The sequence below is a fragment of the Homo sapiens genome, chromosome 12 (assembly GCF_000001405.40).
Source record: "Homo sapiens chromosome 12, GRCh38.p14 Primary Assembly".
NCBI lineage: Eukaryota > Metazoa > Chordata > Mammalia > Primates > Hominidae > Homo > Homo sapiens.
In genome coordinates, this window is record NC_000012.12 from 75,348,053 (window position 1) to 75,372,686 (window position 24,634).

General features: G+C 35.0%; 2 protein-coding genes and 1 long non-coding RNA gene across 28 annotated transcripts in view; 1 reads left to right on the top strand and 2 right to left on the bottom strand.

Annotated features, from left to right (window-relative positions):
- The window catches only part of GLIPR1L1 (GLIPR1 like 1), a 35,891-nt gene extending 13,383 nt beyond the window's left edge, over nucleotides 1–22,508 (top strand). Inside the window, exons 4-6 of one of the 3 annotated variants that reach the window (NM_001304964.2) lie at nucleotides 15,050–15,138; nucleotides 21,908–21,934; nucleotides 22,033–22,508. In NM_001304964.2, the coding sequence (NP_001291893.1) occupies nucleotides 15,050–15,138; nucleotides 21,908–21,934; nucleotides 22,033–22,124 (208 nt within the window). In that variant the 3' untranslated portion in view covers nucleotides 22,125–22,508. Of the gene's footprint in view, nucleotides 1–15,049; nucleotides 15,139–21,424; nucleotides 21,621–21,907; nucleotides 21,935–22,032 lie in introns of those variants that run through there. The other 2 variants (NM_152779.4, XM_011538134.4) reach the window with 2 other exon arrangements.
- CAPS2 (calcyphosine 2) overlaps nucleotides 1–24,634 on the bottom strand; it is a 114,923-nt gene that overhangs the window by 72,074 nt on the left and 18,215 nt on the right. For 8 of the 24 annotated variants that reach the window (NR_149159.2, NR_149157.2, NR_149160.2 and 5 more), the window contains one exon: nucleotides 23,027–23,430. The exons of the other annotated variants lie outside the window; for them this stretch is intronic. The gene's annotated coding sequence lies outside the window, so the exon portion shown is untranslated. The remainder of the gene's footprint in view (nucleotides 1–23,026; nucleotides 23,431–24,634) is intronic. 24 annotated transcript variants of the gene reach the window in all.
- On the bottom strand, nucleotides 11,831–13,417 carry LOC124902968 (uncharacterized). Its single transcript, XR_007063372.1, has 2 exons — nucleotides 13,073–13,417; nucleotides 11,831–12,967 (listed from the first exon to the last, which is right to left on the bottom strand). It is a non-coding gene; the product is annotated as an uncharacterized LOC124902968 (long non-coding RNA).

Here is a 24,634-nt window from a genome sequence, read left to right on the forward strand (position 1 = left end):
ATATAAAATAAGTGGAATAAGAAAATGATTGAGAATGATTGTAAAAGAACATACTTTTAAGAAAAGAACAACATAACTTTAATTGTCTTGCTGATAATTGCATATCTAAATGAAAATATAGCATAAGCTTAAAGGGAAACTCCAAAAATGAAATTCTAGTCCTCTAATCCTGGTGAATCTATACTAGGAAGACTATAAAAACAGTTAATAACCCAGCTCTTCAACAAACATCAATTTAAAAATAAGCAGTAGAAAAGATAAAAACAAAGACAAAGAATAAATATGCAAAACTGATGAAAAGGAGCTGAGATATGCCAAAAGTACTAGAGAGAGGCAGAAATGTGTATATATCTCTCTGTATTTTCTTCCATGACCTTTCACTTGGAAGCAAAAACAAGAATGAAAAATACAAATTTTTATAGCTTGGGAAAAGTAGAGTTTTTATAGATTCAGAGAAATTATAAAACTACTGACACATTTATTATCATCTTTTCTCTTAAGGAGACTAATCACAAGATTTGAAATGGAAAGAGAATAATAATAGGGGATGAAGGCTCAAGATTTGATGAAAAAGCAGTTAAGCATCATACTGCTTTGAATAAGTCAGGTTTTGGGGTCCAAACAAATTATGTACGTAACAGATTTCTTATGGGTCTTGTGAAAGCATACGAGAATAGTGTTATGTCACCCCTGGCCAAGTGGTAGGGACCAATATACCCTGTCACTTGAAACAAAAGCCATAAAAAGCAAAACAGATGAAGCACATGAAGCAATGGTTTTAAAGACACTGGCTATAATACAACAAAGGGCCGTGATCTCTGAAAAATAACAACAAAAAAAAGTTAGCCCTATAATTCCCCCAGCTTCCTGTCTCAGTGAGAGTGTTCAGGTCATGGAATATGAAATTACTAAGACAGAGGTTGGCTGGCTCCCTGGGTTGAAGAAATGGAGCTAAAAGTATAGGAATACCAATACAGCTAGAGTTCACGGAAAAGAGTACCAGAGAAAAGAGAACTACACACAGAGAGAACCCTAGAAATCTGCAAATAATATTCCTAGAGTATTGATTAACACATGCACGTGAGGAAACAACTTCAGGCCAGGTTAAGAAGCATCTGAAAGAATAAGAGGACACAGTTCTTGGCACTCACACAGGGAGCAGAACTAAACTGCTCCAGACCCACCTAACAATTCATAATGTAAAACCTGAAAGGATCAAAATGTTCCCATGTAATTTGACTGTATCCCACATAAGAAATGATTGAAAATGATTATAAAAGCACAGAATTTTAAGAAAAGAACAACATAACTTTAACAACAACAACAGCAAAAAAACTCAAGGAGGTTTACAGAAATACACAATACCCAGCACCTAACACTTACAATGTCTGGCATCTAATGAAATATTACCAGCCATATAAAGAAGGAAAAAAATAAGACATAAGAAGAAGCTGAATCAATAAGTTGAAATGAATGCAGAACTTACACAGATGTTATAATTAAAAGAGAAAGACATTAAAATGGTTATTATAACTGTACTCTATATTTTTAAATGTTAAGCAAAGATATGAAAAATATTAAAAACAGAGGACTACAATGTCTGAGATTTTTTAGAAGTTAAAATTAATGAAATATTAGACATTCCAGAAAAAAAGATTAATGAATTCAAAATCATAACATTAGAAATTATCCAAGACAGTGATTCAGGAGTTCAAGACTGCAGTGAGCCATGATTGCCTTGAGAAACAGAGCAAGACCCTATCTCTTTAAAAAAAGAAAAGAAAAAAATTATCCAAGATAGAATCCATAGAGGAAAAAATATCCAAAAAGATAAAAAGTGTATCAGCTGCAATACAACTTTTAGTGGAAATTGATTTCCTTACATTGGACTCCCTGCTGGCCAGCGGGGCAGGCTGGAGACTGCCTAAGAAGACCGGGTCCCGGGAGGGAGGGGTGCCCACCACCACTGTGGCTCCAGTTGGCCATTTTCCCCTGCTGCTGGTGCCAGCAAGACTGACTGGTTTGGACCAGGAGAAATTCCCCACAGCACAGCACAGCCACTGTGACAGTTTGTGGCCAGACTGCTTCTTTAAGCGAGACCCTGACACATTCCTTCTTGCCAGGCAGGGCCTACCTGAGGGATTTTCAGCACCCCCAGCCAGGGGTTTATGGACAGATCTCTGATTTCCCTGAGAGGAGCCCCTAGGAGGAGGGGCAGCCACAGTATCATGGACTGCAATCTTATCCTTTTCTGATGGCAAGCTCTGAGGAGTCTGGGTAGTCTGGACAAGGGAAATTCCTGCTTATTTAAGTGGGTCCTTTATCCTATTTCCCCTGACTGGGTGAGATCTCCCAACAGGGGTCTCCAGGCACTGCATACAGGAGCATTCTGGCGGGCATCAGGTCAATGCCCCTCTGGGACAGAATGCCCAGTGGAAAGATCAGGCTGCCATCTTTGCTGTTCTGCCACCTCCACTGGTGATACTTCCAGGTGTCAGAGGGACCCAGGTGAACAGGGTCTGGAGTAGGCCCCCAGGAAACCACAGCAGCCCTACAGAAAAGGGGCCTTACTGCTAAAAGAACAAACAGAAAGCAACAACAGCATCAATAAAAAAAGACCACAAAAACCCCATCCAAAGGTCAGCAGATTCAAAGATCAAAGGTAGATAAACCCTTGAAGATGAGAAAGAATCAACGCAAAAATGCTGAAAACTCAAAAAGCCAGAGTGTCTCTTCAGCTGCAAATGATCACAACACATCTCCAGCAAGGGCACAGAACTGGGATGAGGCTGAGATGGACGAATTGACAAAAATAGGGTTCAGAAGATGCATAATAATGAACTTCACTGAGCTAAAGGAGTATATTCTAACACATTGCGAAGAAGCTAAGAACCATGATAAAATATTACAGGAGCTGTTAACCAGAATAACCAGTTTAGAGAGGAACATAAATGAACTGATGGAGCTGTAAAACACAACACAAGAACTTCACAATGCAATCACAAGTATCAATATCCAAACAGACCAAGTGGAAGAAAGGATATCAGAGCTTGAAGACTATCTTGCTGAAATAAGGCAGGCAGACAAGATTAGAGAAAAAAGGAACAAACAAAACCTGTGAGAACTATGAGATTATGTAAGATTGAACCTATGACTGATTGGGGTACCTGAAATAAATGGGGAGAAAGAACTGAGTTGGAAAACACACTTCAGGATATCATCCAGGAGAACTTCCTCAACCTAGCAAGAAAGGTCAACATTCAAATTCAGGAAATCCAGAGAACCCCCGTAAGATACTCCATGAGAAGATCAACCCCAAGACACATAATCATCAGATTCTCCAAGGTCAAAGTGAAGGAGACAATGTTAAGGGCAGCCAGAGAGAAAGGCCAGGCCACCTACAAAGGGAAGCCCATCAGACTAACAGCAGACCTCTCAGCAGAAATCCTAAAAACCAGAAGAGATTGGGAACAATATTTAACACTCTGTTTTGTTTTGTTTTTTTTTTTTTTGAGATGGAGTCCCACTCTGTCACCCAAGGTGGAGTGTACTGGTGTGATCTTGACTTACTACCACCTCCACCTCCCAGGTTCAAGTGATTCTCCTGCCTCAGCCTCCTGAGTAGCTGGGATTAGAGGCGCTCCCCACCACACCCAGCTAATTTTTGTATTTTTAGTACAGACGGGGTTTTGCCATGTTGGCCAGCCTGGTCTCGAACTCCTGACCTCAGGTGATCCACCCTCCTTGGCCTCCCAAAGTGCTGGGATTACAGGCATGAGCCATCGTGCTGGCCCAATATTTAACATTCTTAAAGAAAAAAATTTTCAGTCTAGAATTTCATATCCAGCCAAACAACATCATAAGCGAAGGAGAAATGAGATTTTTTTTCAGACAAGCAAATGCTGAGGGAATTCATCACCACCAGGCCTGCCTTGCAAGAGCTCCTGAAGGAAGCACTAAATATGGAAAGGAAAAATGGTTACCAGTCACTACAAAAAACATGCTGAAGTACACAAACCAACAACACTATGAAGCAACTATATAAATCAGTCTGCAAAATAACCAGCTAGCATCATGATGACAGGATCAAATTCACATATAACTATACTAACGTTAAATGTAAATGGCCTAAAGGCCCCATATAAAAGGCACAGAATGGTAAGCTGGATAAAGAGCCAACATCCATCAGTGAGCTGCATTCAAGAGACCCATCTCACATGCAAAGACATACATAGACTCAAAGGGATGGAGGAAAATTTACCAAGCAAATGGAAAACAGAAAAAAGCAGAGGTTGAAATCCTAGTTTCTGATAAAACAAACTTTAAACCAACAAAGATCAAAAAAGACAAAGAAGGGCATTACATAATGGTAAAGTAATCAATTCAACAAGAAGAGCTAACTGTCCTAAATATATATGCACCCAATACAGGAGCACCCAGATTCATAAAACAAGTTCTTAGAGACCTACAAAGTGACTTAGACTCCCACACAATAATAGTGGAAGATTTTAACACCCCACTGTCAATATTAGCCAGATGACAGAGACAGAATATTAACAAAAATATCCTGAAGTTGAACTCAGCTCTGGATCAAGTGGACCTGACAGTTATCTGCAGAACTCTCCACCCCAAAACAACAGAATATACATTCTTCTCAGTGCCACAAGGCACTTACTCTAAAACTGCACATAATTGGAAGTAAATCACTCCTCAGCAAATGCAAAAGAACTGAAATCATAACAGTCTCTCAGAACAAAATACAATCAAATTAGAACTCAATATTAAGAAACACTCAAAACCACACAACTACATGGAAATTGAGCAACCTGCTCTTGAATGACTCCTGGGTAAATAATTAAATTAAGGCAGAAATCAAGAAGTCCTTAGAAACTAATAAGAACAACGATATAACACACTAGAATCTCTGGGACGCAGCTAAAGCAGTATTAAGAGGGAAATTTATAGTGCTAAATGCTCACATCAAAAAGCTAGAAAGATCCCAAATTGACATCCTAACATCATAACTAAAGGAACTAGAGAACCAAGAGCAAACAAACCCCAAAGCTAGCAGAAGACAAGAAAAAGCCAAGATCAGAGTGAAACTAAAGGTGATACAAACAAGAAAAACCCTTCAAAAAAATCAATGAATCCAGGAGCTGGCTTTTTGAAAAGATTAATAAAACAGATAGACTACTAACTAAATAGAATAATAAAGAAGAGAGAAGAATCAAATAGACACAATAAAAAATGATAAAGGGGTATCACCACTGACCCCACAGAAATACAAACAACCATCAGAGAATACTATAAACACCTCTGTGCAAATCACTTGGAAAATCTAGAAGAAATTGATAAATTCCTGTAAACATATGCCCTCCCAAGACTGAACCAGGAAGAAGTTGAATCCCTGAATAGACCAATAACAAGTTCTGAAATTGAGGCAGTAATGAACAGCCTATCAACCAAAAACAGCACAGGACCAGACAGATTTACAGCTGAATTCTACCAGAAGAACAAAGAGGAGCTGATACCCTTTCTTCTGAAAATATTCCAAACAACTGAAAAGGAGGGACTCCTCCCTAACCATTTTATGAGGCCAGCATCATCCTGATACCAAAACCTGGCAAAGAAACAACAACAAAAAACTTCAGGCCAATATCCCTGATGAACATCAATGCAAAAATTCTCAATAAAATACTGGCAAACCAAATCCAGCAACACATCAAAAAGCTTATCCATCACAATCAAGTTGGCTTCATCCCCAGGATGCAAGTCTGGTTCAACATACGCAAATCAATGAATGTAATTCATTATATCATCAGAACTAAAGACAAAAACCATATGATTATCTCAATAGATGCCAAAAGGCCTTCAATAAAATTCATCATTCCTTTATGTTAAAAACTCCTCTCAATAAACTAGGAATTGAAGGAGCATACATCAAAAAATAAGAGCCATTTATGAGAAACCCATGGCCAATGTCATACTGAATGGGCAAAAGCTGGATGCATTCCCCTTGAAAACCAGTATAAGACAAAAATGTCCTCTCTCACCACTTCTATTCAACATAGTATTGGAAGTTCTGGCCAGAGCAATCAGGGAAGAGAAAAAAAAGGGGGGGGGGTATTCAAATAGGAAAAGAGGAAGTCAAATTGTCTTTGTCTTTGTTTGCAGATGATATGATCCTATATCTAGAAAACCCCATTATCTCAACCCAAAAGCTTTTTAAGCTTATAAGCAACTTTGGCAGACAAAAAAAGTCACAAGCATTCCTGTACACCAACAACAGACAAGCAGAAAGTCAAATCATGAATAAATTCCCATTCACAATTGCTAGAAAGAGAATAAGATACCTAGGAATACAGCTAAAAAAAAAGTGAAGGACTTCTTCAAGGAGAACTACAAACCACTGCTCAAGGAAATCAGAGAAGGCACAAACAAATGAAAAAACATTGCATGTTCATGGATAGTAAGAATCAATATCGTGAAAATGGCCATACTGCCCAAAGTAATTTACAGATTCAATGCTATTCCCATTAAACTCATTGACATTCTTCACAGAATTAGAAAAAACTATTTTAAAATTCATATGGAACCAAAAAAGGGTTTGTGTAGCCAAGACATCCTAAGCAGAAAAGAACAAAGCTGGAGGAATCACACTACCTGACTTCAAACTACACTACAAGGCTACAGTAACCAAAACAGCATGGTACTGGTACAAAAACAGACACACAGACCAATGGAACAGAATGGAGAACTCAGAAATAAGACCGCACATCTATAATCAACTAGTCTTCAACAAACCTGACAAAAAGAAGCAATGAGGAAAGGACTCCCTATTTAATAGATGGTGCTGGGAGAACAGGCTAGCCATATGCAGAGAATTGAAACTGCACAACTTCCTTACACCTTATACAAAAATTAGCTCAAGATGGATTAAAGGCTTAAATATAAAACCCAAAACTATAAAAACCCTAGAAGAAAATCTAGGCAATACTATTCAGGACATAGGCATGGGCAAACGTTTCAAGACAAAAACATCAAAAGCAATTGCAACAAAAGCAAAAATGGATAAATGGGATCAATTAAACTAAAGAACTTCTACACAGCAAAAGAAACTATCATCAGAGTAAACAAGCAACCTACAGAGTGGGAGAAAATTTTAGCAATCTATCCATCTGACAAAGGTCTAATATCCAGAATCTACAAGGAACTTAAGTAAACTTACAAAACAAAAAATCATTCAAAAATGGGCAAAAGACATGAACAGACACTTCTCAAAATAAGACATTTATGCAGCCAACGAACTATAAAACACAGCTCAACATCATTGGTCATTAGAGAAATGCAAATCAAAATCGCAGTTAGATACCATCTCATGCCAGTCAGAATGGCAATTATTAAAAAGTCCAGAAACAACAGATGCTGGTGAGGTTGTGGAGAAATAGGAACGTTTTTACACTGTTGGTGGGAATGTACACTCCACAATAGTCAAACCATTGTAGAAGACACTATGGTAATTCCTCAAAGATCTAGAACCAGAAATACCATTTGACCCAGCAATCCCATCGCTAGGTATATACCCAAAAAATATAAATTATTCTATTACAAAGATAAATGCACAAGTAGGTTCAGCGCAGCACTATTTATAATAGCAAAGACATGGAATCAACCTAAATGCCCATCAATGACAGACTGGATAAAGAAAATGTGGTACATATACAACATGGAATACTATGCAGCCATAAAAAGGAATGAGATCATGTCATTTGCAGGGACATGGATGGAGCTAGAAGCTATTATTCTTAGCAAACTAATGCAGGAACAGAAAAACCAAACACCACATGTTCTCATTTACAAATGGGAGCTGAACAATGGGAACGCTTGGCCACACAAAGGGTAACAACACACACTGGGGCCTGTTGGGGGTAGGGTGGGGAGAGGGAGAGCATCAGCAAAAATAGCTAACGCATGCTGGGCTTAATACCTGGGTGATGAGTTGATCTGTGCAGCAAACCACAATGGCACACATTTACCTATGTCACAAACCTGCCCATGCTGCATTTTTACCCTGGAACTTAAAATAAAAACAAAAATATAATTTAAAAAAAGAAAAAGAAAAGAGATGCCAGCAGATTTTTCAGTGGACATAATGCAAAAGAAGCAATATCTTTAAAAACAAAAGCAAAATAAAACTGTCAACTGAAAATTCTATACACAGAAAATCTTTTAAAAATAAACATTAAATATGTTTATAGATGACTGGAGATGATAAGTTTGTGGATAAATATATAAGATGTTTTCTTATTTAATTCTCTTTCAAAGATAATTATTTAATCAAAATAAATGTATTGTGATATTGTATATGTAAAATTGAACCACCTTGAAGTTCTTCTAATCCATGTGAAGTGCGATAATCTAACTTGATCGTGATAAGTAAAAGATGCACACTATAAATTCTAAAGTAACTGCTAAAATTAAGCAAAACAAAGAGTAATCGCAAATAAGCCAACAAAGCAGGTAAAATGGAATTTTTAAAAGATATTTAATTAACCCAAAGAAAGGCAAAAAGAAAGGAAAAGGGAAACAGAAAACAGATGAAGCAAATAAAATGAATAAGATGATAGCATCAAACCTAACTATAAATAATAATGTTAAATTTAAATGGTATAAATGCCCCAAACTAAAAAACAGAAATTGCACAATTGGCTAAGAAATTGAAAACCAGCTTTATGCTGCCTATGAAAAACTTTAGGATTCTTTTTTTCACTTTGAATATAAAAACACAAATAGACTAGAAGCAAAAGAATGGAAAAAAGTTTACCATGCTAACATCAGTCAAAGAAGGCTACAGTGCTAGGCACAACAGCAGACACGTAATCCCAACAACTCAAGAGGCTGATGTGGGAGAATCATTTGAGGCAAGAAATTCAAGACCAGCCCTAGCAACAGAGTGAGACTGCATCTATAGAAAAATTAAAAAAAAAAATTACTTTGGCATGGTGGCACATGCCTGTAGTTCAGTTACTCAGGAGGCTGAGGTGGTAGTATAAGTAAAGCCTAGAATTTTGCAGCTGCAGTGAACTATAATTTCACCACTGTACTCCAGCCTGGGAAACAGTGTGAGACTCCATCGCTAAATAAATAAATAAATGCTGCACTGTTTACATTAGTATCAGAAAATGTAGATTTCAGAGCAAAGAATATTATCAGAGATAAATTTCACTTCACAATGATAATTGGGTTAATTAATCAAGAGAACATAAGAGTCCTACATGTTAAGCAGCTAAAAACATAGATTAAAATTATGTAAAATAAGATCCAATATTACTGTAAAGAGAATTAGATAAATCCATAATTAACATTAGGTATTTCAATTATCCCATTTGATAAAAGGAAAAACAAGTAGATAGAAAATAAGTAGGGATATAGAGTTGAACACTCTCAAGCAACTTTACCTGATGGACATGGTAGACTATACCACCCCAAAACAGAGGAATATATATTTCTTCAAGTGTACATGAAATATTTAATAATAAAGACCACATGCTATGTCATAAAACAGATCTTGATACATTTAAATGTATTAAAATAATACAAAGTATGTTGTTTGATGACAGCAAAATTAAATTACAAATTAACAGAAAAACCATTGTCCAATGTCCAATGTCCAATATTTGAATACTAACATACTTCTAAATAACTCATGAATCAAAGAATAACTCAAAAAAGAAGTTAGAAAGTATGCTGAACTGAATGAAATTAAAATAAGAACATACGGGATGCTATTAAAACAGTAATTATGAGAAAATTTATGGCACCAAAGGCCCACAATAGAAAAAAAAGAACAGTCTCCAGTCAATGACCTTGCCTTCCACCTAAGAAACTAGGGGACAAAAAAGACAAAAGTAAATCTAAAGTAAAAAAAAAAAAGTAATAACAAAAATAAAAGCATACATAAATAAAATAACAAACAGAAAAACAGTTAAAAACATCGATGAAAACTAAAGATTAACATTTTATTAATAAAATTTATCATCTGCAAACCATACTGATCAAAAAAAGATAAAAATAATATGAGAACATAGGTGATAACACTACAGATTTTACAAATATTAAAAGTAAAATAAGAAAATAATAATAACATTTATGCCAATAAATTTTACCACTTGGATGAAATGAGAGAATTGTTCAAAAGACAAAAATTACACAGGAGAAATAAAGAGAAAAGTATAGAGCAATATCCCTCACAAACATAGGTACAAAAAAATCTAAACAAAATTTAGCTATTGAATCCAACAATATTTTAAAAGCATAATACACTTTATCTAAGAGGGGTATATTCCAGGAATGCAGGTCTCATTTTACATTCTAAAATGAATCAGTTAATCAACCTGAAAATAAGAATTATATGATTATCTCAATAGATTCAGAAAAAGCCAAACATTCATTCCTGATGAAGGCTCCTAACAAGCTAAAAATAGAAGGGAATGTCACAAATCCAACAAAGAACACCTATGAAAAACTGACCACTAACATTATGCCTAATAGTAAAAAAAAATTGTATGTAACATACCAGACAGTAAATATGTTAGACTTTGCATGCCACATACACATTTTGTTACATATTTGTGTTTCTTTTTGTTTTGCTTTTTTAAACCATATATATAATATATTATATATATGGTTTAAATATATATAATATATTATATATGTTTAAATATATATAATATATAACAATATATAATATATTATATATGTTTAAATATATATAATATATAACAATATATAATATATTATATATGGTTTAAACATATATAATATATAATTATATATATTACATATAATTATATATTATATTAGTACAGACTGCATAAAACAGATAAATATATAATATATTATTAAAGACTGCATAAAAAAGATAGAACATAAAAATATAGAAAAACAGACCATAGGACAGATTTGGCCTCTGGGCCACACTGTGCTGATTGCTACTGTATAGAAAATCCACTGGAATCTACCAAAACTCATCTAAAACAAATAAGTTTAGCAATCTTTTAGGATACAAAATTAGTATACAAAAATTAATTACATGTCTGTATACTAACACTTAACCAGAAATTGAATGAAAATAACATCATTTATAATAGCATCAAAAAATATAAATTATCTAGGAATAGATCTGGCAAAAGAAAGAGACATGTACTGAAAACTACATAATATCATGAGAGAAACTAACAAAGACACAATAGCGACATATATGTTGTTCAGTTGTTCATGAGTTAGAAGACTCAGCATTGTTGTCTTTTTTTTTTTTTTTTTTTTTTTTTTTTTTGCTGAATTGATCTATGAATTCAAGACAATCCCAGTAAAAATTCCACCAGGATTTTATTGTATAAATTGACAAGTTGATCAGAAAATTCATGTGGAAGTGCAAAAATTTTGAATAACCAAAACAACTTGAAATAGAATAAATTTAAAGGACTAATACTATTGTTTTCAAGTGCTAATAATATGGTTTTCAAAAGTTATTAAAACTGTAAAATATTCCCAACATTGTGGTATTTGCATAAAGTTAGACAAATAGATTAGTGAAATAGAATACAGAGATCAGAAATAGACTCACACATTGTTGACCACATTATTTTCAACTAATTTTTCAGAAATGCACAAAGGTATTTCAGTGGAAAAAAAATTAATAAATCATACTGGAACAATTAGTTATCCATAAAGTAACCTGGATCTATACAACTACAAAAATTAACTCAAAATGGATCGTTGATGTATTTGTTCATTTTCACACTGCTATAAAGAAATACCCAAGACTGGGTCATTTATAAAGGAAATAGGTTTAATTGACTACAGTTCCACATAGCTAGGGAGGCCTCAGAAACTTACAATGATGGCATAAGGCAAAGGGGAAACAAGCACCTTCTTCACAGTGCAGCAAGAGAAAGAAAAGGAGGAACTTCAAAACATCTTTAAAACCATCAGATCTCATGAGAACTCACTCACTATCATGAGAACAGCATGGGGGAAACTGCCCCCATGATCCAATCACCTCCCTCTCTCAACATGTGGAGATTATAGTTCCCTCCCTCAACACATAAGAATTACAATTCGAGATAAGGTTTGGGTGGGGACACAGAGCCAAACCCTATCATTCTGCCCCAGCCCATCCAAATCTCTTGTCTTTTTACATTTCCCAACCAATCATGCCTACGCAACAGTCCCCCAAAATTTTAAATGATTTCAGCATTAACTCAAAGTCCATAATCCAAAGTCTCATCTGAGAAAAGGCAAGTCCCTTCTGCCTATAAGCCTGTAAAATCAAAAACAAGTTAGTTCCTTCCTAGATACAATGGGGATACAGGCATTGGGTAAATGCTCCCATTCCAAATGAGAGAAATTGGCCAAAACAAAGGGGCTATAGGCCCTGCACAAGTCCAAAATCCAGTGGGGCAGTCATTAAATCTTAAATCTCTGAAATAATCTCCTTTGGCGCCATGTCTCATATCGGGGGCATGCTGATGGGAGAGGTGGGTTCCCATGGCCTTAGGCAGCTCCTTCACAGGCTGATATTGAGAGCTTGTGGCTTTTCCTGGTGCATGGTGCAAGTTGTCATTTGATCTACCATTCTGAGGTCTGGAGAATGGTGGCCCTGTTCTCACAGCTCCACTAGGCAGTGTGCCAGTGGGGACTCTGTGTGGAGTCTCCAACCCCACCTTTTCTTTCCACACTGCCCTAGTAGAGGTTCTCCATGAGGGCTCTGCCCCTGTAGCAGACTTCTGCCTAGATATCCAGGCATTTCCATATGTCCTCTGAAATCTAGGTGGAGGTTTCCAATCTTCAATTCTTGACTTCTGTGTACCCACAGGCCCAACACTGTTGCAGTCTTTCTTCCCCTTAGCTCAGATAAGTCTGAGGTCTTGTCTCACAACCAGGAAGAATTTCCAGTGTGCAGACACTGGAAAGTGAGTGGAGTAGAATTAATTAAGCAAAAGAGAAACTCTCAACAAAGAGAAATGTGGCAGGAAGGGGATGGTTCCCCTACCCAAAGACTGGAAAGTACCTCTTTGTGGCTGGGACTGGGGCTCTTTATGGACTCAGAATGAAGAGTGTGTGCTGATTGGTCTGTTGGTATGCCAAAAAAAATAAATAAATAAAAAGTTAAAGTGAAGACACCACTCAAAGCTGGCCACAACAGTGTAGAAAACTAATTAGGAAAGGGTAGGTATATGTAAAATAGGTGAAGGGTGGGTATCAATCAGAGGAGAGTGCACCAAACAAGAAAACAAGTTCTCAATCCAGTACAAAGATTTAACTTGTAGCTTGGCTTTCAGGTTTTAAACTGTCTTTGGCTTGAAGGTGGGGTTTCACCAGGAACCCAACCCTATCTGCCTAGGCATCTGGCTGCCTCCTGCCACTCTCAACACCATATGGAAGTCACCAAGGCTTGGGGCTTGCACCCTCTGAAGCAACAGCCCAAGCTGTACCTCAGCCTGTTTTAGCTGAGGAAAGAGATGTAATTGACTCATGGTTCCACGTGACTGGGGAGGCCTCAGGAAACTTACAATCATGACAGAAGGTGAAGGGGAAGCCAGAACCTTCCTTACAGTGCAGCAGGAGAGATAAGAGAGAAGGAGGAACTTCTAAACACTTTTGAAACCATCAGATCTCAGTAGAACTCACTCACTATCATAAGAACAGCATGAGGGAAACCACCCCCATAATCCAATCACCTCCCTCCCTAAACTTGGGGCTTACAGGTTCCTCCCTCAACACATGGGAATTACAATTCAAGATGAGATTTGGGTGGGGACACAGAGCCAAACCATATCAATAGACCTAAATGTAAAACCTACAACTATAAAAACTTTAGAAGAAAAGATGAACAAAAACCTCTACGACCTTTAGATAGCCAAAGATTTTTAAACTACCACATTAAAACAATGATATATAAATTTAATGTCATTAAAATTAAAAATAACTACTATTCAAAGACACTGTTAAGAGAATGAAAAGACAAGCCACCTGGAAGAAAGTCTGTAAACAACAATAATAACAGCAACAATTATCAAATAAAGGATGTACCCTGGAATATAGGAAGAACTCTCACAACTCAATATAAAGAAAACTTAAAACTCAATTTTAATTTTTTTTAAATACAAAGAAGATATGTAGGTAACAAATACACACATTAAAATGCTCATCATCATTCATCATTTAAAAAATACAAATTAAGGTCACAATAAATACCACTACACCATTATTAGAATGGCTAGAGAGTGACCATGCCAAATGCTGGGGACAATGTGAGGGCCATGGTATTCTCATGCACTGTTAGATCTGTGTCCCTATAATGATGTATGTATGAATGCTTTCAACATTCATAGCAACCCTATTGGTAGTGACCAAAAACTTGACCAACCCAAATGCCCATCAATGGAAGAATATGTAACTAAATTGTGGCATATTCTTTAATGGAATACTACTCATGTTGTTATGTTTTTATTTGTGTACTCTAAGTTAAAGTAACACATTTTTAAATCTTTCACAGATAGAAGATAAAGAGGCTTTGAAAAATTTATGACTTATACTATTAAAAATCAGGCATAATAGCTGTCAAGTCGTACATCATCAAATAGAACTAGATAAGGACTATGATATTATACTTTAAAATTAAAACATAAAACACATGTTTATGTTCATACTTAAATATTACTTATTTCATGTACAAAATGAAGAAATAATCATACTATCTATGACAAAAACTTTGCAACTATCACATGCATAATTACACTGGGTTCACATCTCATTATTCTTCTATAGAATATTCAAGAATAGAACTTCCACGTGATTCATCCTGTAAGGAATTGTTTTAATAGCTTATTTTAACAAAAGAAATGAAAATAAAATTGAGACATTATTATTTTTCATTTTCAACATTTATGACTTAATAAATGACTAAAACAACTTGCATACATGCATGAACAAAATTGGAGAAATTAACAGCCATTTGGCTAATCAATGTTTCTCTTTTTTACAGAGGAAATTTTGCAAATATGCCTCCTTACGTAAGAGGAGAATCTTGCTCTCTCTGCTCAAAAGAAGAGAAATGTGTAAAGAACCTCTGCAGTAAGCAAAAATATATATATATAATTACATTTAGAGAGTAAAGTTTCCATATATTTATTAAATTTTAAAATTTGGCTTCTCAAGTTTACAAACTATGGACAAGATTTGACTGTTGTTATCTTACGATATAAATCATGTCATAAATTGTAATACTTAAACTCAGATGATTCCTGCTTTCTTCACTGATTACTCCCCCTCTGAAGCTAAAGAGCAGAAAGGAATGAGGTACAACCATGATTCAATTTGCTGCTGCACTGAAAATAACTATGGGTTGAAATGCTTCTTATTTTTACTCGCTTTCATTGACCTCTTGTTATTAGTTATTAGAATAGTGACCCATTCAGAAGTAATTTGTCAGTCAATGTCCAAAGTAATTATGATTTAAAACTAACATGTTTCTCTTTCATGATCAGCTTTTTGGTTCTCAAAATAAATATGCTTTTTAAGACTAAAAGTATAAATTTTGGGCAGTGAGGCCAGAGGAAAAAAAAATGGAGCCATGTGTCAACAAAATATCAAACTCTGTAAAACATTTGAAGAGATTTATTCTGAGCAAACATGAGTGACCAATGGCCTGTGAGACAGCCCTCAGGAGACCCTGAGAACATGTGTCCAAGGTGGTCAGCCTACAACTTGTTTTTTACATTTTAAGGAGACTAAGACATCAATCAATACATGCAAGATGTACATTAGTTCTGTCCAGAAAGGCAAGACAACTGGAAGTAGGGCTTGCAAGTCAAAAGTCAAAGGCAGATTCAAAGATGTTCTGATTGGCAATTGGTTGAGTTAAGTAATTGTCTAAAGGCTTACGATCAATAGAAAGGAATACCTCGGTTAAGATAAGGGGTTGTGGAGACCAAGGGTTTATTAAGTAGATGAAACCTCAAGATATCAGGCTTCTGAGAGACTAGATTGTAAATGTTTCTTATCAGATTGAAAGAGTCTCTTCTATTAGACTTAAGATCTGTATTGGTGTTAATGCTGGTCAGCTTTTTCTGAATTACAAAAGGGAGGAAGGTATAATGAGACATGTCTGACCTCCCCTTTCCCATCATGGCCTGAACTAGTTTTCAGGTTAACTTTGGAATGCACCTTGCCAAAAGTAGAGGTCCATTCAGATGGTTGGGGGGCTTAGAATTTTAGTTTTGGTTTACATTCTCCCCCTTCTGGCCAACATTTGCCATAGGCAAGATCAATGGCCAGTAAACATTTACTTTATCGCATAGTGTTGTCAGGGTGGCATGGCTGCCTGCCCCAGGTTCATCCTGTCCCTCAGTGGAACCCCTATTGCCAAGGGACCTAGATCCAAAAACTTATAGCCAATTTAAATGTTCCAGCCCAGATGGGAATGGACATAGACAGGCATTCATTAACTGTTAAATTTTTTTAAGTAATATAAAAGCCAACAAACAAAAACACAAAGGTGAAGATACAAAATTAACTTATCTTTAACTTCTATACATTGAGCTGCTGTAATCTTGGTTTTAGTTACAGACTTATAGCAATTAGCTACACAGAACATAAGCATTATTAAAACCTTTTAAGCTAAGGAATTTAGAGCTTTTTGTTGTGCCACATTTCTTTTTGTTGTCTTTAGTAATGTGTCCCAAGGTGTCTGATAAAAATTTTTAATATATAATTATCTTCATAAATCTCATAACTGGGAGTACCCAGGAGGCTTTGTCATGGGTATCTTTATATTCTTTCAGTAATAATTTGTTTTTAATTCTACAGGAATCAGCAAATTATTTATGGTTAGAATGGATTAAAAGGTGCCACATAACAGCTCAGAAGGCAAAGTCCCTGTTTTACCAGCTGTTTAGGCATCTGTGTACCCATCCTTCATTGAGAGGATCTGAACTAATTATATCCCTCAAAACCAGCCCTTGTAATCTCATGCAACCACCTCTTGCACAATAGTCCCTGGGCCTAGAGGGAAGGTGCTTGTATAGTTTTAGCAACAGAGCATATGCAATGAAAAGCAGATCAGGCTCAATGGGATTCCAAATGAGGAACATCTGTAGGTTTTGTCAAATCATCTGTTGTCTTCAGAATGCCATGATTCTGGTTTTCCTGGAAGAAGTAAAACCATGAGCAATAAATCACATTAATAATTTGACAATTAAAAAAGAATGTGTGTGTTAGAACAGAAAAAGGAAAGTATTCATTAGAACAGAAAAAGGAAACTATTCCACTAGGGCACTAACTAAAAACATAAAAAATTATAACCTGATACTCTTTAGAGGATTACTGTAGCCAAGAGATAATTCATAATTCCTTTTACCTTCTTTTGCATATAACTTTTAAATAACCTTTGAATGAAACAAACATTATTTACCTTTCAATAAGAATACATTTTTAAAAAAATGTTTTCCTATCATTTTTTAAGTTGGATGTTGCCCAGAGAGTTAATGAATATACATTGTTAAATATAACTTTAGATTCAAACAAACTTTAGACAAGTTTTTTACAAACATTTATTCTATTACATTTACCTCATTATTTAATAGTTCACCTACAGTATTTATAAAAACTGTGATAGTCATCATTTAAAATTATTTCCCTGTTAACCATTTTTATACCCTATGAATTGTGGGTGTTTACTCAAGAAATAAACTTAAGGCTAACTATATGAGTATTTTACCAATAATTCAGTATGTAGCTGTTTTCATTAAACCAACAATACCAAATGTCTTATTTAGCAAAAATTACACAAGCAAAGATCATTCTGTTTTGGGCTGGCTTTATAGTTTTATAACCCTTATGCAAAATTTTGACACCTTATAATATTTGCCAGGGATAAATATGAATCCACTTGATCAATAAACAAAGAAAAATGCTACAATTCTAATTCTAATGTTACTTTACAAAGAATTTTAAAGCCAGTTTATTTATTAAAGATTTTATTTAAGTCATGTGAACTTGAAAAGCATGTGGGCTTATTATTTTACTTAATTTATGACTACTCTTAACTTTAAGCCAGTTTGGTACCTTGTGGCCACAATCCATAACAAAATACATAAACACATACATACACACTCATAGAAAGATCCCATTTTTTATTTCAGAACTTAAGCCATAAGATATTAATACAAACTCACTGGTTTACAGAAAGGAAGAAGATTGGATCTAAACAGTGGGTTTTGTCTCAGTAGAAAAGTAACAGCAGATTTAAAGCAGGCAGAAAAGAAAATAGAGAAGTAGAGAACTTAGGAACTCTTGAGTTGCAGATTGACCTTTGGGCTATGAATTTTTCTTTGATGTAATTTGCCTATTAGCTTAAAATGTGCAAAACAGACCATAATATGTAACTAGTTTGGGTACTAGTAAACCTGGCATGCCCTCAAACTTTTTCATTTTGCACAAACACTTGCAAAGAGAGGCACCCTAAAACTAACACGGCACCTCAAAGTGGATCATTCTTGTCTTTCCTCTTCTTCAGATTGTTGCCTACTTTTTTTTTTTTCTTAAAAGGAGGAATGGAGCTGTGGCCTAGGGTTTTTTTGTGTTGCAGATCAATGTGTGCTGATTTTGGGTGAGACTGCAGTGTTTTACCAATGAGTCATTTCCACGCTCTTATGTGTCTCAGTTTCTCTCTTCAGAGGTCTATCACCTCTGAGAGGGCTAAAAATGCCAAGTGAACAGCTCTATATGCATTTCTTGAATGAGTCTTTTAAAACTAATTTTGTTGAGGGTTCCCTGTAGGGCCACTGCATGTCAAAAGGGGTTAACCACCCAGACATTCCCACTCAGTCCCCAGTCACCCAAGGGGCAGCTTGCAGCTTGCAGTAACAAAATGTCCTTTCTCTTCAGAGCTGAGGAGGTAAGTCTCTCATTTATCTCTAAAAATGACAGTTTAAGTTTCTCACAAAAATGCACAGACAAGCCAACTGAGATTAATTTGGGGAGAAAACGTAATGGAGAAGACACTTTAGAATACACCTCCAAAGTGGAAACCAAATAGGGTACCCAAAAGGCGGGGGGTTCTCCTTGGCTTTAGAAAATGGCAGTGGAGAAGATCCTTTAGAATGTACCTCTAAACTAGAATTAGGATCCTAAACAACAACTTCCTAGGAGGAAAAAAAAAAAAAAAAAAAAAAGAACTTTTTGACTCTTTCGTAGTAACACTTAGCTTAAAACACAAACATATTGTATAACTATACCAAAGTATTTTATTTCTTTATGTCCGTCTATAAGCTTGTTTCCACTTACAATTTTTATTTTACTGTTTAAACTTTTTGTTAAAAATTGAAATACGAATACACACATTAGCCTAGGCCTACACAGGGTCAGAGTCATCAATATAACCACCTTCCATCTCCACGTCGTGTACCACAGGAAGGTCTTGCACATCAAATTATATTCTTTTTTGTAATATATTTGTAGTTATTATAAATATTTTAGAATTTTATTTGATAATTGATTTTATTGCCTTAAAAAATTTAAATGCTTTTGTATATTAGTCTATTAACACTTTTACCAAACTCTCTTATTATTTCTGACAGTTTATTGATTTTCTTGGATTTTATATGATGACAAATCATGTCTTCCGTTAAAAATAATGCGTTTTGTTCTTTCTTCTAATCTTTATATTATTTATTTCACAAATATTAACAGATAGTTCATTCATTTCTCCAGTGCAATGTTGAGCATAAGCTGTAACAATAGACACACCCTTCTATTATTCTTAAATTTAAAGACAATGTTTCACCATTGTGTATGTTTGTTTTAGATTATTTTCATTGGTCCTCATAGCCAGGTTATAAAAGTTTTCTCTTTTCCTTATTTTGCTGAGTTTTTAATTTGAATAAATGTTAACTTTAACAATTTTTTCCTGCATCTCTTGAAATAATGCTATTTCTTTCCTTTTAATGTCTTAATATTGTAAACTGTATCAAACGGTTTCTAATATAACACAGCTACACTGTAAAATTTCAAAAGGTAGCAGGAGTTAAGTGATGCCCCAGTAATACAATATTACATTATTCTTTCATTCTCGTGATAAATCCAATTTGGTCATGAGGTTTCCTTAAGAGATGGCTAGATTCTTTTTAACTTTTTATTTACAATTTTTTGCATTTATTTTTAGAATTGTGCTTGGCCATATAATTTTCCTCCTGCATTTTTCATTATTTTGCTGAGTTTTTAATTTGAATACATGTTAACTTTAACAATTTTTTCCTGCATCTCTTGAACTAATGCTACTTCTTTTCTTTTAGTGTCTTAATGTTGCAAACTGTATCAAAGGGTTTCTAATATAACACAGCTACACTGTAAAATTTCGAAAGGTACCAGGAGTTAAGTGATGCCCCAGGAATACAATATTACGTTATTCTTTCATTCTTGTGATAAATCCAATTTGGTCATGAGGTTTCCTTAAGAGATGGCTAGATCCTTGTTAACTTTTTTTATTTACAAATTTTTGCATTTATTTTTAGAATTGTGCTTGGCCATATAATTTTCCTCCTGCATTTTTCCTTGATTTTTGACTTCAAGTTTGTATTAGACTCATTTTAAAAAGTTGGCATTTGGACATAATTTTGCCTTTAGTATTTTGGTTACAGTGTGTATAAGATTCTGATTAATTTTTTAATGTTTAGTAGACATTCTCTATAAAGCTATTTTGTTCTAGTGTGAGTGTGTTATGTGTAAATTTTAATTACTAATTTTTTTCATCATTATGGGATATTTGGGTTTGTGGAAGACTTTAGCAAATTTTCTGTTTTATCCACATTTCAATGAAATTCTCTTATATTTTTGCATGTACTTCATGTGTAGTTATGTTTCATTTATGTTCTATGACTTTTGACTTGTACTTTTTCTCTTTTTTGTTGATCAATCTTTATCAGAAAATATATTTTAGCTTGGTTGGCTTCTTATTTGAGAGATACGCAATATAGCATAACAGTTATATATGTAGACCTTGGAGTCAGATGGTTTAACTCAAGAGGTGATTAAGCGTATTAAATATGATTAAATACACAAAATTATTTGAGCCTCTCAAAAAGTAATTTTTCAATACATTTTAGCTATTACTATAATTCAGTTCCAAATTTTCTATCATTTAACCCAGTTTATATTTTGTAGCATTCATCGCTGACATTATCATTTTTACTCATCTTATTTATTTATTTAATTTTAAAATTGAGTATAGATTTTTCTCTCCTCATTTTTCCACAATAAAAGGGATTTTATTTTTTGCTGGTAACCATTATATCCAAAGCTAGAATCATGCTGAATACGTAGTAGAAGGTCAAAAAAATTAATTAATTATTTTTTTAAGTAGATTATTTCCTAATGAAGTGCTGGATGCTATTAGAATGGTAAACTGGGGAGGAAAGTTTGATGTGGAAAAGACATCGAGAAATATTTGGAGTAAGGACCATTACAGAAATGAATGAGATTGTTAATGAGTTCTGCATACAAAAAATTCAACATGAAGAAATTACGTTTCTTCAGGGACGTGAATTGGGAATGAAAGAGTGGGAAAAATAAAGTTAACTACTTTATAGCTTTTTCTGGTTTTGACTTTTGTGCCTTCAACACTCAGAGGTGTTTTAGAAATATTTGTTGACATAACACTGTTGGTAGGAAGCATCGTAAAGAGTTTTAAGTACTGTAGGATTGAGTAGGAAAGTTTCATTTTCTTGTTAAAAAGTCAAACTAATTTTTGTTAGTTGATTGTCTTATTCTAAAAGCCATAAAAGCAAAGAAATATGTTTTCTTGTTTTATAACATTTTATAATATTAACTTTAATTTTTACTTTAGGGACTCCACAACTTATTATACCTAACCGTATGTATCAAAATATTTTAGTATTAATTAAATTATTTCCTCCCGTTGAAAATCAATTGAACTCTTAACTATTCTGGTTTTGTTTTTGTTTTTGACAGAAAATCCATTTCTGAAGCCAACGGGGAGAGCACCTCAGCAGACAGCCTTTAATCCATTCAGCTTAGGTTTTCTTCTTCTGAGAATCTTTTAATGTCATTTATATACAAAAGAAATTCTCAAATGTTAAAATAAAGGAATAGTTTATTGCTTAATATAACTTATCATCACTTTGCTTCTTTACTGAATCTTCTACACTCTTGCCTGATACCTAAATTTAATGTTTGTTTTTAACTCAAAAAATGTACTGTAGTATGGAAAATGGATAGCAGTAGAATAAAGTCTTAAGATTATTTTTTAATTACAAATCCATATGTGTATCAAAAGTGTTCCACTCTTTAATTTTCTAATGAGAATGGATTATCATTTTAGTTATAGTACATTTAGAGAACTAAAGACTTTTCACATATCAAATAGTTTCCTTAGATACCAATAGTTTCCTTTATGAATACCATCAACATCATTCAGAAACAAAATGTTACTGAGGAAAGTTTTTTCAGATAGCATGTAATGTTATACATTATGGCCATAATCAATGGTTGGGGAATAAATCAATGAATTAAACTCAAAAAGTTAAATTAACTAAATTTTCAACCTTTAAAAAGTAAATATATGTTCTGCAAATTAAAGTTGCACTCTTCTAGGAGATTTATTTTTAAATATGCCCCACAGAAAATAACAGGATGCTAACAGCATATCTTTTAAAAGCCATATAAAATTAGTATAGGTAACAACATTTCTACAAACCAGATAATTATTCAGTACTGGCATTTCTTTTTTCTGAAGGAAAAAAACATAATATTTAATAAATTCAGTTTTCAAAATCATCAATGCTGAATTGTTGACTCCTGTGGAGTAAATTATCTGGATGTTTTTCTTCTCAACTAAGGCAAGCTCCAGCTTCCCTCAGCTATTGCATTAGGGCTCTCTAAAGGGACAGAACTACTAGGTTATATGCATGTATAAATGAGAATTTATTAAGGAGAATTGACTCACATGATCTATAGGTGAAGTCCCATCTGTAAGTTGAGAAGCAAGGAAGCCAGCAGTAGCTCAGTCCAAGTTTCAAAATCTCAAAAGTCGGGAAGCCGACAATTCAGCCTTCAGTGTGTGGCTGAAGGCCTGAGAGCACCTGGTAAACCACTGATGTAAATCCGAGAGTCCAAAAGACGAAGAACCTGGAGTCTGATGTTTGAGGGCAGGAAGCATCCAGCACACGAGAAAGATGAAGGCTGGAAGATTCAGCAAGTCGGCTCTTCCATCTTCTCCTGCCTGGTTTATTCTAGCTGGCAGCCGATTGGATGTTGCCCACCCACATTGAGGTGGGTCTGCTTTTCCCAGTTCACTGCTCTCCTTTGGCAATACTCTCACAGACACACCCAGGAACAATACTTTGCATCCTTCAATAAAGTTGACAATATTAACCATCACAAGTCCACCCCTTGTCTACTTGAAAAATACACATCTCCTGAAATCATATATAATCTCCAAATAAAGACAATAATAAGGTTATAATTATGTCTAATATAATACAGCTATCCTTTGTACAACCGGAAGTGCTCTAATCATTAACCTAAATGTTATTACATAAAGTTAAGAACACTTAAATGTCTAAATGAAGTCAGTAAATCTTATGTCACATGATAAAGGAAAAATAGAGGGAATAAAATGAAGATACTTTCTTAGTACAAGTGTATACATGCACAAACATATTCTTAACAAAATAAGGAGAAAATACTTATGACAATTACAGTCCTCGTTTCTGCAACTGGTCACGTGGTTGTATTTATGACTACCTGTTGTTAGTTTCCCATTGACCTTAATCACAGGCATGGCAAAACTAAGAAACGCTCTATGGAGTCTCCTGTATTCCATACATACTCTTCCTTACCTCCATTAAGGAGTAGTAGGTTGATTTCATCTTTTTTGTTTGTTTGTTTGTTGTTTCTTTTTTGAGACGGAGTCTCTGTCGCCCAGGCTGGAGTGCAGTGGCACGATCTTGGCTCACTGCAACCTCCGCCTGCTGGGTTCAAGTAATTCTCCTGCCTCAGCCTTCCGAGTAGCTGGGATTACAGGTGCCCATCACTGCACCCAGCTAATTTTTGTATTTTTAGTAGATGGGGTTTCACCATGTTGGCCAGGCTGGTCTTAAAGTCCTGACCTCAGGTGATCCACCTGCCTCAGCTTCCCAAAGTGCTGGAATTACAGGTGTGAGCCACCACGCCCAACCTGATTTCATCTTGATAGTTTAAGTCAATCACCCCAGCCAACACTATAACTCTTGTTAGCCTGTTGACTTAGAGGTAGGAGGAGCCCAGAGTAACCAGGTGGCAATCCTAACCTCCAGTTTAATAGAATACTTCTTGTATCTCCTGGTGGCAGCATTTCTCCCTCTGGAACTAAGATCTGTAGACCAGCAGAACGTAATGTCATGGGAACAGGAAGCAAAAATTTTGCTAGTGGATCACTAGGGGTGATGGTGAGTGGTGCCACTTCCACTTCCACCCTTTGATGCCTGGACTCGTGAATCCTGGCTATGAGAGAAACTGTGCCATATATTGGATGCTGATTCAGAGCATACATAGCTTCTGAAGAACTTTGCCC